The sequence below is a fragment of the Homo sapiens genome, chromosome 7 (assembly GCF_000001405.40).
Source record: "Homo sapiens chromosome 7, GRCh38.p14 Primary Assembly".
NCBI lineage: Eukaryota > Metazoa > Chordata > Mammalia > Primates > Hominidae > Homo > Homo sapiens.
In genome coordinates this window covers 127,693,978-127,710,364 of record NC_000007.14, presented here as the reverse complement: position 1 = coordinate 127,710,364, position 16,387 = coordinate 127,693,978, and the positions used below count along the sequence as shown (strand labels likewise).

Here is a 16,387-nt window from a genome sequence, read left to right as displayed (position 1 = left end):
TTGAGTAGGACTGGTATAGATCAGAGATCATCAAACTATTAAGTAAAAAGCCAGATAACAAATATTTTAGGCTTTGCAGGCCACGCAGTTTCTATCACAACTACTCACCTCTGCCATTATAGCACAAGAACAGACACACACAATACACAAGCGAACACATATAGCTATGTTCCAATTTATTTACGATACTGACATTTAATTTCACATAATTTTCACATGCCACGATATATTTTTTATTAACGCAAAATCCATTTTTTTCAGTGTAAAATCCACAGATCATGCAAAAACAAGTGCCCAGCCAAATTCAGCCCATGGGCCATAGTTTGCCAACCCTGAGACAGACACTATGATCAACTTTGTTAAAAAAAAAAAAAATTACAAAACAAGGCCAAGTCATAGTGTTTCATGTACTATGGGTATTTATGCTTATCTTCTTTATGTTTTTTTCCTGTTTTAAAAGCAAAACGAATGCTAAAGAATTTTTAAAAGTCAAGTTTTAAAAACTCTTTTCCCATTTCTCTCTACCCTCTAAGCGGACGTGTACCCAAACAGTCTCAATTTATGTTTCAATTTCTACAGAAGATTGGTTATTCCTCATAATTCTCCATCAGATGATTTCTAGAGGCAATCTCCTCTACTTTGGCACTGTAATGAATAAAACTTCATTGTCATGATAAAAGCCTCGCTCTCTTTTAAAGAAAAAACAGATCCTAGGATCCTAGATTTTTGAAAATGGAAAAAATTCTTCTACAGGTAGGTCTCCCTTTTCTAATTACCAACAAAGTCATATTTAAGATAAATGCAAAGCTCAATAATCTAAATCCTTTGAATTTTGTTCTTATGCAGTGCTTTAGTTAACTCCCCAACCAGCCAAGGCCCAAAACTCTTCAAAATATTCTAGGTTTTTCTACAAACTCAGTTTTAATAGAGGACAGGCTGGTAGGAACACGACAGGGTACTAAGATCCTCACATGCCTCATCTACATCACTAATGTCACAGACTCTCAAAGTGAAGATGGCGAAAAATTGAAGGCCTGCCTCCCTTTTTGGGTGAAAAATCATCCTTTCATTCTGTAGCTATGTTAACACAGCTATGCTAACTACGGGAAGCATAAGCACAACTGAGTGAGTTCCAAGTAGGCAGAGCAAGCCATGTCCAAGTGTCCACACACGTACACGCCTCACAAAGAAGGGACATTGTGGTCTGCAACAAGACCTGGAGGATGCCAGGATATCCCAACAGGTGCAAGTCCCACTCATGCCTACCAAAAGGAATGATTTTGGCTCACCTCACAGCTGCCTGGACATCACCTACAAAAAGAGGGAAAGAGGCCACTAGACCACTCTGTGACCTATTACTTTGGGCATCATAAAAAAGAGAGTGAAGAAATTTAGCCAGTTCCTCAGAGGTTGCTTAAAAGACAGACTTTCTCAGGCTCACAGTGCCACCTAGTGGCTTTCCATCCTAAACTCATGGTTAGTTGACAGGGAGACAGAACCTCTCAGTCCAAGAATTTGGCACTTAACCACTTTTAGCCCATAAAAACAAAACTTCTAGCATCTCTTGGCAAAAGTAAAAATAGGCTGGAAAACATTACAGCATTTTGGGAAGACACAGAGAGCAGGTCTACTACTCAAGTTACAAAACCATGCAACTAAGAAAAAACATTTTTATAGCACTGCTGATACCACCAAGGATAATAGCTCTAGTTCCCTTCAAAGTAGTCTATCCCAAGACATATCAATGGAAAACTCTCGGGGCGGTGGGGCGGGGAACCAAGAGCTCCAAAACAGAAAGAAGAGAAACTTGAGGTCATATATTTATAGGTGCTCCTTGATTTGCACCAGGGTTAACTCCTGATAAACCCATCATAAGCTGAAAATGCTGTAAGTTGAAAATGCATTTATCTCTCTTCAGCCAGGAAGGAAGGGAGGAAGGGAGGAAGGCAGGAAGGGAGGAAGGGAGGAAGGGAAGAAGGAAGGAAGGAAGAAAGGAAGGAAGGGAGGGAGGGAGAAAGGAAGGAAGGAAAGAAGGGCACTTAATACAACCTACCAAACATCACAGCTTGGCCTAACCTACCTTAGGTTAGGTAGCCTACTTTTGCTTAGGTTAGTTTACCTAACCTACCAAACATCATAGCTTGGCCTAACCTACCTTAAACACATTTGGAACACTTACATAAGTCTACAATTGGGCAAAATAATCTAACACAAAGCCTGTTTTATAATAAAGTGTTGAATATCTCATTTAATTAATTTACTGAATACTAGACCAAAAGTGATAAACAGAATGGCTGTATGGATACTCCAAATGTGGTTCCTACTGAGTATCTATTGCTTTCACACCACTGTAAAGTCAAAATATCTTAAGTCGACCCAGCATAAGTCAGGGACCATCTATACTTGGACATAGGAAATCTTAAGATAATGCTATTTGCTAGGCAGATAAAAAAGAAGTCCTAAACTATGAGAGATATTTCAAGCTAGTTTGAAGTTAGCTAATTTACAAAGAAATTTAAATAGTCTAATGGTTTCTAAACCCCCTACAATAAACACACACACACACACACACACACACACACACACACACACACACACTCCTACTGGCTTGCCTTGAAATTTTCAAGAGCTTCAGCATTTCTAATTGTTCAAATTCTTGTATTATTACTCGCCTGGCAATGTCCACTATGCATATCAAGATGCTGAGAATGACTCACCTTGGCAACAAACTGCTTGTCCTTTTGGTCCAAATTAGCTGTGGGAGCCACATAGTCTCTCCATATTCTCAGCCTGCGCTCTTTGGCAAACCTGGCAACAAAGCAAGGATGCAAGATCATTCAGACTCAGCAAATGGAATCCACCACTACCATGGGAGCACAGTTGGTGCAGCATCCTACTCTACCCTATAGATGTATCCAGAAGAAAGACTACCAGTCAAACCAGAACAAAGAGCGAGAGTAAATGAAAACATGCAAGATACATATATAAAATGTAAGCCCACAGCTGGGAGACTATGGTCCAGGCATACAATTTTTTGAGCCTAGATGGTTCAAGTCCACCTTCATTATTAACTCTGGTTTATCTAATATCTCCTGGGTGACTACTACAAAAAAATGGGAAGAACCCACACATCTAAACAAACATATTTCTTAAAAAGCACAGACCTGCTCAATTTCTATCTGAATTACAAAAAGGTTACCAGCTACCAAATCCTATATATAAGAAGAAAACTGTCATGACAGTGCATCTATAGAATAATTAGAAAATGAACAAAATCCTCATAAGTTCACTGACAAGAGTTTAAAAAAACCTATGTAGCCAGAAATTTATTTTGAAGTATTATGCCCAGTAGATATTTTCTGAGCCAGACTATGAGTAGGAAATGGAATATGTGCAAAGATTAAAAAAAATCAATGAACAGCTGTCTTAAACCACTTACAAATAAGTGGATACATGTGCAGTGAAAAGGAACTATTATTTCTGAAAACAGTATTGCAATCTTTTGTTTTAGAGAAGCACTAAAATGAGAAAAACACAAAGCAGGATGTAGTAGTTGTAAAATACAAGAAGTAATTCAATACAGAGGATGCAATTTTACCTACAATTCAAGTAGCTCAAATACAGCATGCAAAACAGCAGACAAGTAATCACATATTATCAAAATAGGATTTGCATTCTCTGGTCTAAGCTTGTTTTTTAATGATGAGCACTCCCCCAAAAAATCCATAAAATCTTCTACCGATGTCATATAACATGTAGATATTATTTTCATTGCATTCACTTTCTTGAAAGAAAGGCAAGATACTGGGCCAGGCACAGTGGCTCACACCTGTAATCCCAGCACTTTGGGAGGCCAAGGCGGGCGGATCACGAGGTCAGGAGATCGAGACCATCCTGGCCAACGTGGTGAAACCCAGTCTCCACTAAAATACAAAAAAAAATTAGCCAGGTGTGGTGGCATGCGCCTGTAGTCCCAGCTACTGGGGAGGCTGAGGCAGAGGAATCGCTTGAACCAGGGAGGTAGAGGTTGCAGTAAGTGGAGATCGTGCCACTGCACTCCAGCCTGGCAACAGAGCAAGACTCCGTCTCAAAAAAAAAAGGTGGGGGGGGGGAGGGGGGGCAAGAAATTAAAGAATGCAAAAAAAATCAAATTAATTTAGAATACTAATGAACATAACAGGATTCTCTGAACCAAAAAACAGAAATTGAGCATTGTAGAATAATCGGAAGTATTTGGAACACTGTACTTGATACGGTTATTATATCTTTCTAACTTAATTGTAGAACAACATAAAAAAAATTCTAAGCAATCACTGTTCTTTTCCATCAGACAATACACATGTCAGATGTGCCACATCAAATGGCCTAGATTAATATCTACTTTTATAAAAACCTGCAAATACTTCTGCTTATAGGTACTCAAGGATGAAAAAGACCTAAGAAATGGAATAAATACTATAGTTATTCATTCACGTCGTTGCACATCTCTTAGCTGTATATCTGTCACAAAAATGTAGTTATCAAGACCATTATAACTTTAAGATTCTGAAACAAGTCATACAGCAAGACTTGAGAGTGGACTACTGTCATCAGCTGTGTGTTGTCTTTGCTTAAATGTGTCATGCAAGGTGGTGATTCAGACTTTCCCGAGCATCATTTCCATTCATCTATTGTTGCTACCTGCTTTATTTTCTTCCATCTATCCCATCAAATGGAGAAAGTTCACCTACATCTACATCTACATCTACATCTACATCTACATCTACATCTACATCTACATCTGCATCTACATCTTGACGCTGACAGTTGAAATGTCGACTAATATTTGGAATTTCTACATGCAGTTTTCTAGAAACAAGTTATTCCTATATCTGCTTTAACGATAGCCAACAAGTCAAAAACACACCAATAACGTCTCAGAGTTATATTAGTGTTTATAACTGAAACACACTTTTAAATAAGTTAGGGCATAGGCCTCACAACAATATTGAATGGTCCTGGTTTAAAACCTACAGGCTCTGTCTTTCCATCATACCCCTGCTCTTGTCTGTCTGTTTGGGAGCAGCTAATAAGCAATTTCATCTTTCTCAAATAAGCTTCAAGTTTATTACATTCCAAATGTCTAAAACCCAGAACTTAAGCAAGGGGCTTGGGAAAAAAATGACCTGAAAACATTAAAAAAGCAAATCAAGTGAAGAATAATGTCTAAGTGAAAACTGTAAGTCCTTACCATCCAGCATTCAATTAGACTGAACCTGAAGACCAATATTTAAGTCACTCCTCTATAAGGAACTGCCCTACTCCTTTACTGAAGTAAAATGAACACTGACACACAGGGGTGTGAGCAAATCACCAGATTTCTTTCCCTAAAGATCCTTAACAAGATCCACAGCTGGAAGGCCTCTTGGACAGACCTTACCTCTCTGCCGCCCTCAGCTTTTCTGCGCCCCGGGTGTAAACTGCAATCGACCAGTCCACACAGCGTGCGAAACCTTCCTTCAGGAGGAGCTCTGTGATGTTGCCATTCTGAAAAACAAGGTACATGAGAGGCAGGCACGGATTAGACTCTGTTGTAAAAGAATCCATTTCTCTAGACTTCTGACACAATTAACACAGTCACAAACTAGTCTGCAGTTTGTTTGTTTGTTTGTTTACAGTAGAGTAGCTTCTCTCACTACGAAACCACTCCTAAGATGGGAGAGATGCCACTCTGAGACTCCTTTCAATAGCCTTGGCTTCGTATCCCCACAATATCCACCATAATAACTCACTTAATAGGAGTAGGATAAATGCTAGTGGCACTGAATGGAATTGACATTTCAATAGCTCTTCTTGTGGGCAGAGGAGGATGTTAATCTTTAATAGAGATTACACCTTATTCTTCCCTCCCTTAAGATCAGCACTTCCTCCCCCTTTCATAAGAGCTGAAGAACAGGCTGAGCAGGGAATAACGGAAGCTACATTTTGCCCAGTGAATTAAAATTCACACTGTACTGTAACACAGAGCCATCTGGCAGGGCACAGCCAGACAGCACTCCAGAAGAAACAGACATGACCTTGGCACACCCCAAACCAAGCCTTTCAACCTTCCACAACTGCCATCATGGAAGAATTATCTAGCCAAAGAGTAAGTAGCTTAGCTCTGTATTGGACACAGGTTAAAATAATGAAAATCCATTCAATTTCAGGTGTTAAAAAGAAGGCCATCTTACATCTAAGAATAACCCAACTATCAAAGTGCACAATAAGGTAAAACATCCAAGAATCGGAACTATAAGAACATAAAGAACCTACTCCCTGCTAAAAGCAGAGTTAGGAGGTAGCTGGATAAAGCCTGGAATACAAAACATAATTTTTCCATACCTCAGTTTCCTCATCATTGATCTACCAATACTTCAGCTAGCTGACTTCTAGACCTCATCAACCCTATTCTACAAATTTCAGTTCTACTTCTAATGAATGTAGCAACCCCTAGGACCAAACAGTTAGATAAATATGTGATCAAGTTCCTCTTCTTATGAACCCAATAACACTTGAGATTAATTTCCTAAAGGTGAGAAAATTGTCCAATTCTGTAAGACAAATGATAACTCCCTAGAAAATGCCTCAAAAATCAGCAGATATTAATAATAATCCTGCCATAATTTTTTTTTGAGACAGAGTCTTGCTCTGTTGCCCAGACTGGAGTGCAGTGGTGCAATCTCGGCTCACTGCAACCTCCGCCTCCCGGGTTCAAGCAGTTCTCCTGCCTCAGCCTCCTGAGTAGCTGGGACTATAGGTGCACGCCACCACGACAGGCTAATTTTTGTATTTTTAGTAGAAACAGGGTTTCACCATGTTGGCCAGGATGGTCTCAATCTCCTAACTTCGTGATCCACCCGCCTTGGCCTCCCAAAGTGGTGGGATTACAGGCGTGAGCCACCACAACTGGCCAATATCTTAATGGATGTTAAATACAGAGAAAGAGAAGCAAACCCCTATTCTTCAAACCCCAAATGCATCCCTAGCCCATCACCACCCAGTCTGCACAGACACACTCACTGGATGAAGGATGGTACCCAGAATGTTCTGGTTGTGGCAGCTCTCCAGAATGATCTGAACATCTCTCTGAAGCAGTCGCGACTCAGTGAAAAATTTGGCTTCTGCAGCAAAAGGCTCTGGAGTTTCACTGCCATCTGCTTCCCGTCGAAAAGTTGGGCACTAAAGCAAAGGCAAGGTAGGTGAGTAATGCAGCCTAAATGTGAGTGCTAGGCACTCTCGCCCCACACTAAGCCTTCCAAAAAACACACATGCCACGAAGCTAAACTCAGGAAGGTCTTAAATCAGTCCTTCTAATTTAAAACACACTGGTAAAAAGGGACTGGAAATATCATCATCTCAGACTTCTTGGCAAAGGTAGACAATAAAACTCACATTATCGTGAGGACAATAATTTTAATTACAGTAAAAAGTGGCCCCTTACCAAAAAAAGACTTGCCAGTGCTCAGCTTTTAATCTCTGATTTTTTAAAAACCAAAATGAATGTTTTACATTAATGCTTAATGCAAGCCATATTCAGCAAACTTCATAGCCTCTCATTGTTCCATTTCTCTAGGTTTACATACTTAACAACCCTAAGCACAGCCCATTCTAGACCCAGAATACTTTAAAAAATAAATAAATAATTTGATCCAATTAGAACTGTCGTACTACAAAGTTTAAACTAAAACAAGTATAAAGTCAATGTTAATGGCCCACATTAGGAAGAAACAGCAGATCCGAAGTCCCCAAGTAGAAGAATCCATCACTGAACATCCACACACTCTAAACCCACCACGTAGCCAAGAGTATGGTCTGACCTTGATGCCTGACAGCATGACTGTAACCAGGTAGTAATCTGGGAGGAGCAGGGCCCTGACCACACTGCCGTCCCGCACATGCTCGATGATAGCTGTGTGACAGAATAAACAGCTTAAGTCCTTAGCAAACATCCTAACAAGGATAAACACTGCCCAATCAAACTGCACTTAACACAGTTTCCTCTCCCCAAAAACCCTGAGAAAGCCTCCCTCTGAAAAGTAAGGATGCACTTGCAGATCATGAGAGTTTACATAACAGACTCTTGCATAAATGATTCCTGGAGAATGCAGATTAGACCTGCTTCTCTGTCTTCTGAACTGTCTGGGACCTCATGGCTCACACTGAAGGTTTGTTATCCATAAGCTAGGATTCTCACCTGAGTACCAGGTACCCAACAAAAAATAATTAGTAACTTAAGATTGGTAAAAATCTTATTTTACAGAGTCTGCAGTTAGCAAGGTCTCAAAACCGGGCCAAAAACTATATAGCATATAAATACACATACAGTCAGCCCTCTATATCCATAGGTTTCACATTCATGGAGTCAACCAACCACAGGTCAAAAATATTCAGAAAAAAGAAAAATTCCACAAAGTTCCAAAAAGCAAAACATGAATTTGCCACACACCAAGTATTATGTTGAGTCCACACAGATGAAGTGGTGTATAGGCACTATAATAGGTATTGTAAGTAATCTAGCAATGATTTAAAGTATATGAGAGGATGTGAGTGGGTTATAGGCAAATACTGCACCATTTTATATAAAGGACTCGAGCATCTTTGATTCTGGTATTCCCGGGAGGAAGAGCGGGATAGGGTCCTGGAACCAATCTCCAATGAAGCATGACCGTATCTGTTTAGATGTATACAGAATACATTTTGCTACCTTTAAGTTTTAGGGTTGGTATTTAAGTAGCCTTCTTTTAGAGAACAGAACACAATCAATGTGCAAAATACCAGCAATTTACTACCCTGCAACAGCACAGGACTAGCTTCTGCAGAATGTATCTGATGTGATTTACATGAACTGAGTCCAAATTCCCTTCTGAAATACTAAGGTGCTGTTTTAACCTTAAGGATTTCCCATGGATACTAAATAAGTATAAGAAAGGCTTACTAGATTTTACAAACCTCAAGAAGCAAAGAGTGCAAACAGAAAGAAATCACCCTGAGTCGTATCTGTCTGTTCCCACCAGCCTCACCATTAACAGGCTTCTGGTGGTGTGAGTCCACAAAGTGCCTTGGGTTTTCAATGGTATACTTGAGATCCCGGATAGTATGTGAACCGTTCCCCTCACTCCACATCCCTTTCTTGGCTGCCTTTGCTTGTTCTTCACATTCTGAAAGCCGGTTCTGCTCAGGACTGGGACATAAAAAATAAACAAGAGTGGTTAGTGAGTTCACAAACAGAAATACGAGGCTCTCTGATATAGGTTTTCTTCAGCATCTTCACCCCTTGAAGACAACAAAGGTCTGTTTCAGATCTATGGCTTAAGACCCAAGCCTATAACCAGAAAATCACCATGATTGCAATTTCTAGATTCCAAACTTGTCCTTTCAAACAAAAGGTTAAATAGTAAGAGTATTTAATGAGACGATCTAAAGAACACACATCTCAGTACTGCCACCATCACTGATCAGAAGAGAACAAGTTAGTGGCTCAGAGTTGCTCCAGGTGGTAGAGCTTCATTTAACCATCCCGGATTCAGGAACTGGAATCCCAGGCACAGCTCGGTAGTGCAGAGAAGCCGACTAAGAACCACTCTTTCTCTCTCTCAGTTTACAGAACAAGGCTGAGGAATGTGGAATGAACACTGCTATCACAGATAATGTTACCCCCCAACTACTTACACATTCAATAAGGCAAGCTAGACAAAAGCAGCTTGAAAATGGAAGCCTCCTCCTTCATCAGGCAAGAAACCAAACTATGTACTAGAGCAGCCAAAATATCAGTAGACAAATCAAATCAAGTTTTTTTAAAAAGGCTAGAAATGGCTCCTCTTTCTCTGTTATATCTGAGCTAAAGGCAGCATGGAACTGCATGGCTTTTGCATAATCTCAGACACTCGGTGCCATCAACGGCTGTATGCATAAACTGAATCTCTTCTCATCTTCAGCAGGAGGGACTCCTAAGCAAGGATGACCTACCAATTTCTCAAGCCAGAAGTCTTCACCTCTCTTCCCTACCCCAAAAGGCAACCACACCCTCAGGGATCCAAATTCACAGTCAAAATTAGATGAAGAAATGTAGTGTAAGAGATTGAACCAAACACAAAACTGGGAAAAAGTGACTTGAAGTCAAAACAATTTTGGAGGAAAAAGGACTGGTACTCCAGGGGAGATTTATTTGTTGAGATGGTCCAGTCCTGCTGTGAGATTTTTTTATTATTCATTCCAATTGCAAACTGAATTCCCCCAAAATACTGAAATGGTAATCAAGCCAGTAATTGTCCTTAAGATACAAATTTGGCATACGTCCAAAAACACCACCAAAACAAGTATCTTAATTCAACAAATTCCCACTGGCACACCCCAATTATAGAGTCCAGCAAATGTCTCCTTGCAGTCAGAAAGGACCACACAAGTCTATGGTGAAAGACCTGGCCCCTATGTCTGTGAAGGTAGAAAGAATGCAAAAGGCGCATTTTTGCCTTTGCTCATCCTCATCATTGGTATACCTCATGCAAATGTTTCTCTAAAGCCTTTCCTACAGCTATGACAGTCATATAAGAGAGCAGGGACTTAATGATATAAAACAGCATTATTATAGCCTCCAAATTATAGATGTAGCACTTTTCAGAGACTAAAATGTTAATGAAAACCAGCTGCAATCCATCCTACTGACAGCCAACACTAGTGAACTTGAACATGATATACATACTATAAACCTGACATACACACAACCCCTTTCTAACAGGTTCACATTGCCATTGGCTAAACAAATACATTTTACCTATTAAGCAACTACAGATACATAAACAACACAGACTTGAAAGACTTTGAAGAGATATAAATTTTTCCTGACTCTGAAAACAGAACAAGTGAGGCCTTGTCAGTTTCTCCAGATTCTAAACAACAGATTTTGCTTTGTATTCTATTTATTCACCCCCTTAATTTTGACTGCACTTATTCCTTGCACTGACTGTATATCTACTTGTTTACTGACTGTCTCCCCATTAAAACGTCAGCAGAAGCTAAGTCTATTCACACTATATTCTCAGTGCCTAGAAAACTGCCTGGCACATAGTAAGTGCTCAATAAATATTTGGGACTCGCTAGACAGACAGGTAAACACTCTGGAACTGAATATCTAGTCTAAGACTTGTTGACTCTTATGAATATGAAGAATAGAATTGCCTAGTCTCAAAGCCTGTGTTTAAAAGAGTCATATACCTCAAACACCATTAGTGAATGCTGAGTGACTTCCTAGCTCAGAATAATCCATACCTGGGCAAGAATGTCCGCGAAGGTGTGAAAGCCCCTGCAGTTACCCATGTCTGGGGGCAAGAATGAAAAATGCAGCAAAGCCAATTTACCGCTGTCAGAGAGACAGCGGAGTAATGAATACTTACTTATTAGCTCTCATGCCTTCTCTCCGGGTGGCTAAGCCCTCTGCAACCAGTGATTCTGCAATGTTTTCCCCATTGGTATCTGAGGAGGAAAAGGGGGGATTTAAAAACAAGATTCAAACCTGCCTCCAACAGCAACAGAGCCCAAATGGGACCACTTTCACACTTAGCTCCTCAAGGAGAATAATGCTGCCAGAGAAATGGACACAGCAGCAATGTAGCATTGGGTTTTTCAGAAAACCTCTTTTCCCATAATATCTAGTCTCTAGGACCCAAAGTTCTATCAATCTTCTTCTCAGGACTTTGTTTTTAATTTTCTAGTGTATCTTCCAGGCCAAACGCAATCTCAGGAACCATGGGAGACGGACAAGAAAGCAAGACACACACAGCTGGCAGCTCAAGAGAGTATAAAGTGGTGACTGGAGGAATAGAAGCCTGGAGCTGAACACAAATCCAGCTGCTTAATAGCTTCGACAAGCTCTCCCAGCATCTTAATTTACTCATCTCTAAAGTGGGGAGAGCACTTGCCTTGATGGGTTCTTGTGAGAATTAAATAGTAATGTGTGTAAATCACCAAGCACAGTGCCAAGCGCATGGCAAGAATTAGAAAAAGTTAGTCCCTTCACCGTGTACGATCAGAGAGACGGATTCATTTAGGGCTGGCTATCACACGTTATGCCAGAAAGTCCAATTCCTCTCAGGGATGTCCTATTCTCTGCTCCAAGAGGACACCAAGACAAGCTACACCATTTGACAAAGACTTTCTCTTGCTCTCATAGGGATACTGAGAGAACACAGGCTAGATTTCTCATCTCTCACAAAGCAGCCATCAGACCTAGCAAGAAAAATAAAGTTAAACATAAAATCCAATCTGATTAGGTTCTACCCAGGCACTTGAAATATTAATTGTAGTTCGAGGCTATTGAAAAAGCTTTCAGGCTCAGTGTTTTCTCTTAAATCTCTGCTTGTCGGCCAAAACCATAAAGGAAGACATCTATGAGGGAATAATCACATAAAAATCTTTAATATGGCAGAGAACAAGCTCCAAGATAATCTGAAACACAGCAGTCTAACTGATAGGTAATGTCAGCAAATAATAAAATTCTGTAAGATTTACATTCGGCACACTACACATCGACCTCTGCAAGCAGTAACAGGTACATACACCGCCCCACAAGCCCAACCTAATTGCCTCGCCATTATCATGCCCAAATTTCTGCAGGGGCAAATCTTAAGCCTCTTTTCCTACCAAGAAAAGTTGAACTGAGAAGTTTATACAAAGAAGGTTCAGGTTCCGAGGGTGAGTGTGGATCACCTGACCCTTTCTGTTGAGGTTACTGCTGAGGCCAGCCAAAGACACATTAGTAAATTTTGCATTGGTTCTTCCAAGCAACAGGAATCCCAAAGAGTGAAAAGTCAAAAGGAAGGACTCAACAATTAAGGGAAAATTGAGCAGTGAAGTGCCAGGAGATCTGGGGGTGGAAAGAACGAAGCCCAGGTACAAACAAGGTGAGTGACCATAAAATGGGCTGATCAACAGCACACCCGATAAGTCAGACATTTTCTTGGCACATAGCTTGCTGAAATGGCCCACTTCTAAAAAGTGAGTTCTGAATGCGCCTGCAAAAAGGAGAAAAGTATCTTCCCCTGGGGTGAACCCTCAACGGAGGCAACGAAATGTGGATGATAGGAAAGTGAAACAGGAATTTGTAGGCCAAGGATCTTATTCTTGCTCCTTACTTATCAAATTCTGAATTTGACCAAGTCACATCTGGAGACAGTATTCAGAGCAGGTGGGTGATTATATTGTCTTCAAAAGCCAGAAAACTAATCATCTCTTCAATAAGTTCTAGGTTAACCACAAAGTCTCAAATTTTACCATTCTCTCCCATCATAAAAAAAAGTGGGTAGCAATAAAATAAACACAAATGCTAATTATCTAAGCCACTGTTTTCTTTCATTATAATAGAATTGGCATTAAGAGTTAGTTAAAATACCTTAGTGAAAATATTAAACATTAAACTATTTCTTTATCTTTAAAATGGAAAGATTATAAGCAATTCCAACCATTCTTTAAGTACATATTTATTGATCACCTATGTGCCAGTTCTTATTCTAAACACTAATGTGTTAACATACTAAATTAAATTATATCCAGTTTGTAATGTGAGTCAGTTTAAAAAGTAAACTTTTAAAAAACAACTCTACAGATAATTTAAAATATCAGCTTCTCTTAAAATAAACAATTTGGCCATTTTGGCTGAAGACCAAGGGTATTAAAATGAACTCTTAGGGGTGCTCTACATATAGAAATATCTGTGCCCACAATTATCTGTGGTCCGGTAAGGTCTCTTGTGGGGTAACAGAAGACTGATCAGCTATTATGGAATTGAAATTTTTTAGGTAATGAAATCCTTAACAATTGCATTTTGAAGATAGTACACTTCTTTTCCTCTTACATTCTTTCTAACCAGTAACCACTCAATAATTATCTTTAAGCGTTTTGTTTCTTACTATATTATAAGAATTACGGGTAAAAAGCAAACTTATTTCCCTTTTTGAAAAGAGGCCTTAGGTTTCTATAATTTCTCATTCAAATAAGAAGCAGGTAGCCGTTTTCTGGGAGACTAAAAAGAGGTATTTCTCTACTAGGTAGGAAATCGAACAAGATGCCTCAAAGGTCATTCTCAACTCATTTTTCTGAGACCTCTATCATTAAAAACAGAGTCTTAGCAGAATACTGTTAGCACTGTCATTCTACCCTGCTTGCTTATTGCTAGCACTGACTATCCAACTCAAATAGATTATCCAAATCAACTCCGTTACATGAGCTATCTGAAAGGTTTTTAATCAAAGAATCAAAGGAAACTTAAAAAAAATTCTGCTCCACAAATAGTTCAATGAACATAACTTCATGTTCATCTGGCTGCTTTCTGGAGAACATCCTACCAATTCCTCTTTCAACATCCTATTTCTGTTCCAACTCCATTCCTCAATCTTATTCTCTTACTACCTAATCCAAAAAGCCCAGAACATCTAATATCCCATGAAGCATCTGGCCCAGCTATACAATATGCACACACACAAATATCCAGAGTGAGGTGCTTTACATATACTATTTTTTTGTTTTTTGACCAGGATCTCACTCAGTCACTCAGGCTAGAGTGCAGTGGCATGATCATGGCTCACCACAGACTTGACCTCCCAGACTCAGGTGATTCTCCCACCTCAGCCTCCCGAGTAGCTACGACTACAGGCGTGCGCCACCACGCCTGGCTAATTTTTCCATAGAAACGGGGTTTTACCATGTTGCCCCAGGCTGGTCTCGAACTCTTGTGCTTAAGAGATCCTCCTGCCTCACACTCCCAAAGTGCTGGGATTACAGGTGTGAGCCACGGTGCCTGGCCTATACTATCTCTTTCAACTCTCTCAATAACTTACAAATGAAGAAACTAGGGCTTACAGAGGTTAAGGGTTAAGTAAGGGCACATGGTAGGAAATCAGAATTCTAACCTACATCTATGCAACCCCGACATCTGTGCTCCTTCCATTCCATTAAAAACATGTAGGCTGCAAAAAACCACAGGCCCTCAACAAATCTTCCTTTCCAAAAGAGTTCCCAAGAGAAGAAAAGCCACAAGATAGATAAAAGAAATAGAAGATACAAAAGGAAATCTATAGAAATTCAATTAGCATTCTGACCTAGAAGCACAGAGCCATTGAGTTCCATGAGTGAATGGCCTAAACATGAGGAAGAATGCAACTCTATACTACATGCACCTAAACCAAAGCAGGAAAAGGGGTACACAAGGAACAGGAACACCGGGGGCATGCCTCTGTACACATATATTCCCTGTGCTCAGGGCCCAAAGCATTTGCATTTATGCCTTCAGCCAACTGTCCTAGAGCTTCCTCCACCAGAACCCACACTGGCCTTCCACCACAAGAAAACTGATCTTTAACAGAACTTTAGACTTGAGAGAAATGAGTCCTCTCCCTGCAGCTCACCTTTTCCAAGGTAGATCATGCCATACTCTCGCCCCTGGGGAGTCTTGTTTTCTATCGTGAAACAGACTTCCTTCCCAATCAGCTTCTTTCGAAGGAACTCTCGAGCTGGAAATGCCCAGGGCTGAAAGACAAAACAAATATGTCACATGAGAACTGCCTAGTTTCAGATGCCAATCAGCATTCAAGCAACTTCATACCTTCAGTAAATGTCTGAGTACCTACCATGGTCCTGGCCCTGCGCTGGACCTTGAGAATATAAAAATGAAATGCACACAATGCAGATCGCACACTTAGGGGGCTCATAAAAAAAGGAGGGTCCAGCAGTTGGTTTAACTAACACAGACACTAAAAACAGGCCTCAGAGTTTTCCAGACACTGGCAGCAGGACTTTTTCCCTATCACTGTCTGTTCAGAGTTATAGCTTACTTTGTGAATAACATTTGCCAATGCTTTTATAGCACATACCATGTGCCAGCCACTGCTCTAAATGCTGTATATATATCAACCCACTCCTTCAAATGGGAAGTCCAGGCTCCAGGAACCCACCTAGGCAGAGGGAAGTCATAAATAACAACTACCACCTCCATTTCTCCGCCTCTTTCCAGTTTCTAAAACAGTTTCACTGCCTATTAAACTAGCCTGAAACCAGTTAAAGCCATTGTTGGAGGAGGGACATGATTCTAGTGTTCTTATTTCAGAGTGAATCCCCTGCTCAAGTGAGCCTTATTTAAGTCATCTCCACTCCCCTCTTTAAAGATCAGCAATAGTAAGAAGATATCCCCCAAAATGGCTCTTCTTCTACTTCTGCTCTAGTCTGAAGCCTTTACAGGTCCCAACATCCTTGGGAGGACACCAGTAACAGCCCCTGACAAAGGATCACCTTGATAATGGTGATTCTTTCCTCTCACCGTTCCATGCACAGACACGAGGACTGAGCTACACATCCACACAGTAGAAGCAGAGTCTCCATG

General features: G+C 40.3%; 1 protein-coding gene across 2 annotated transcripts in view, besides 1 other annotated feature; it reads right to left on the bottom strand.

The window, feature by feature from the left end:
• The window catches only part of SND1 (staphylococcal nuclease and tudor domain containing 1), a 440,400-nt gene that overhangs the window by 382,229 nt on the left and 41,784 nt on the right, over nucleotides 1-16,387 (bottom strand). For both annotated transcript variants that reach the window (NM_014390.4, XM_017011987.3), the window contains exons 3-9: nucleotides 15,417-15,537; nucleotides 11,412-11,490; nucleotides 9,042-9,202; nucleotides 7,839-7,930; nucleotides 7,042-7,200; nucleotides 5,420-5,526; nucleotides 2,718-2,808 (exon numbers count right to left, since the gene is read on the bottom strand). In NM_014390.4, the coding sequence (NP_055205.2) occupies nucleotides 2,718-2,808; nucleotides 5,420-5,526; nucleotides 7,042-7,200; nucleotides 7,839-7,930; nucleotides 9,042-9,202; nucleotides 11,412-11,490; nucleotides 15,417-15,537 (810 nt within the window). The remainder of the gene's footprint in view (nucleotides 1-2,717; nucleotides 2,809-5,419; nucleotides 5,527-7,041; nucleotides 7,201-7,838; nucleotides 7,931-9,041; nucleotides 9,203-11,411; nucleotides 11,491-15,416; nucleotides 15,538-16,387) is intronic.
• Nucleotides 6,593-7,092: an enhancer, noted in NCBI's record as "H3K27ac hESC enhancer chr7:127343327-127343826 (GRCh37/hg19 assembly coordinates)". NCBI's record gives its function as "activates a minimal SCP1, AML or CMV promoter by ChIP-STARR-seq in primed H9 embryonic stem cells {active_cell/tissue: H9 hESC(primed)}" and the evidence as "EXISTENCE:reporter gene assay evidence [ECO:0000049][PMID:30033119]".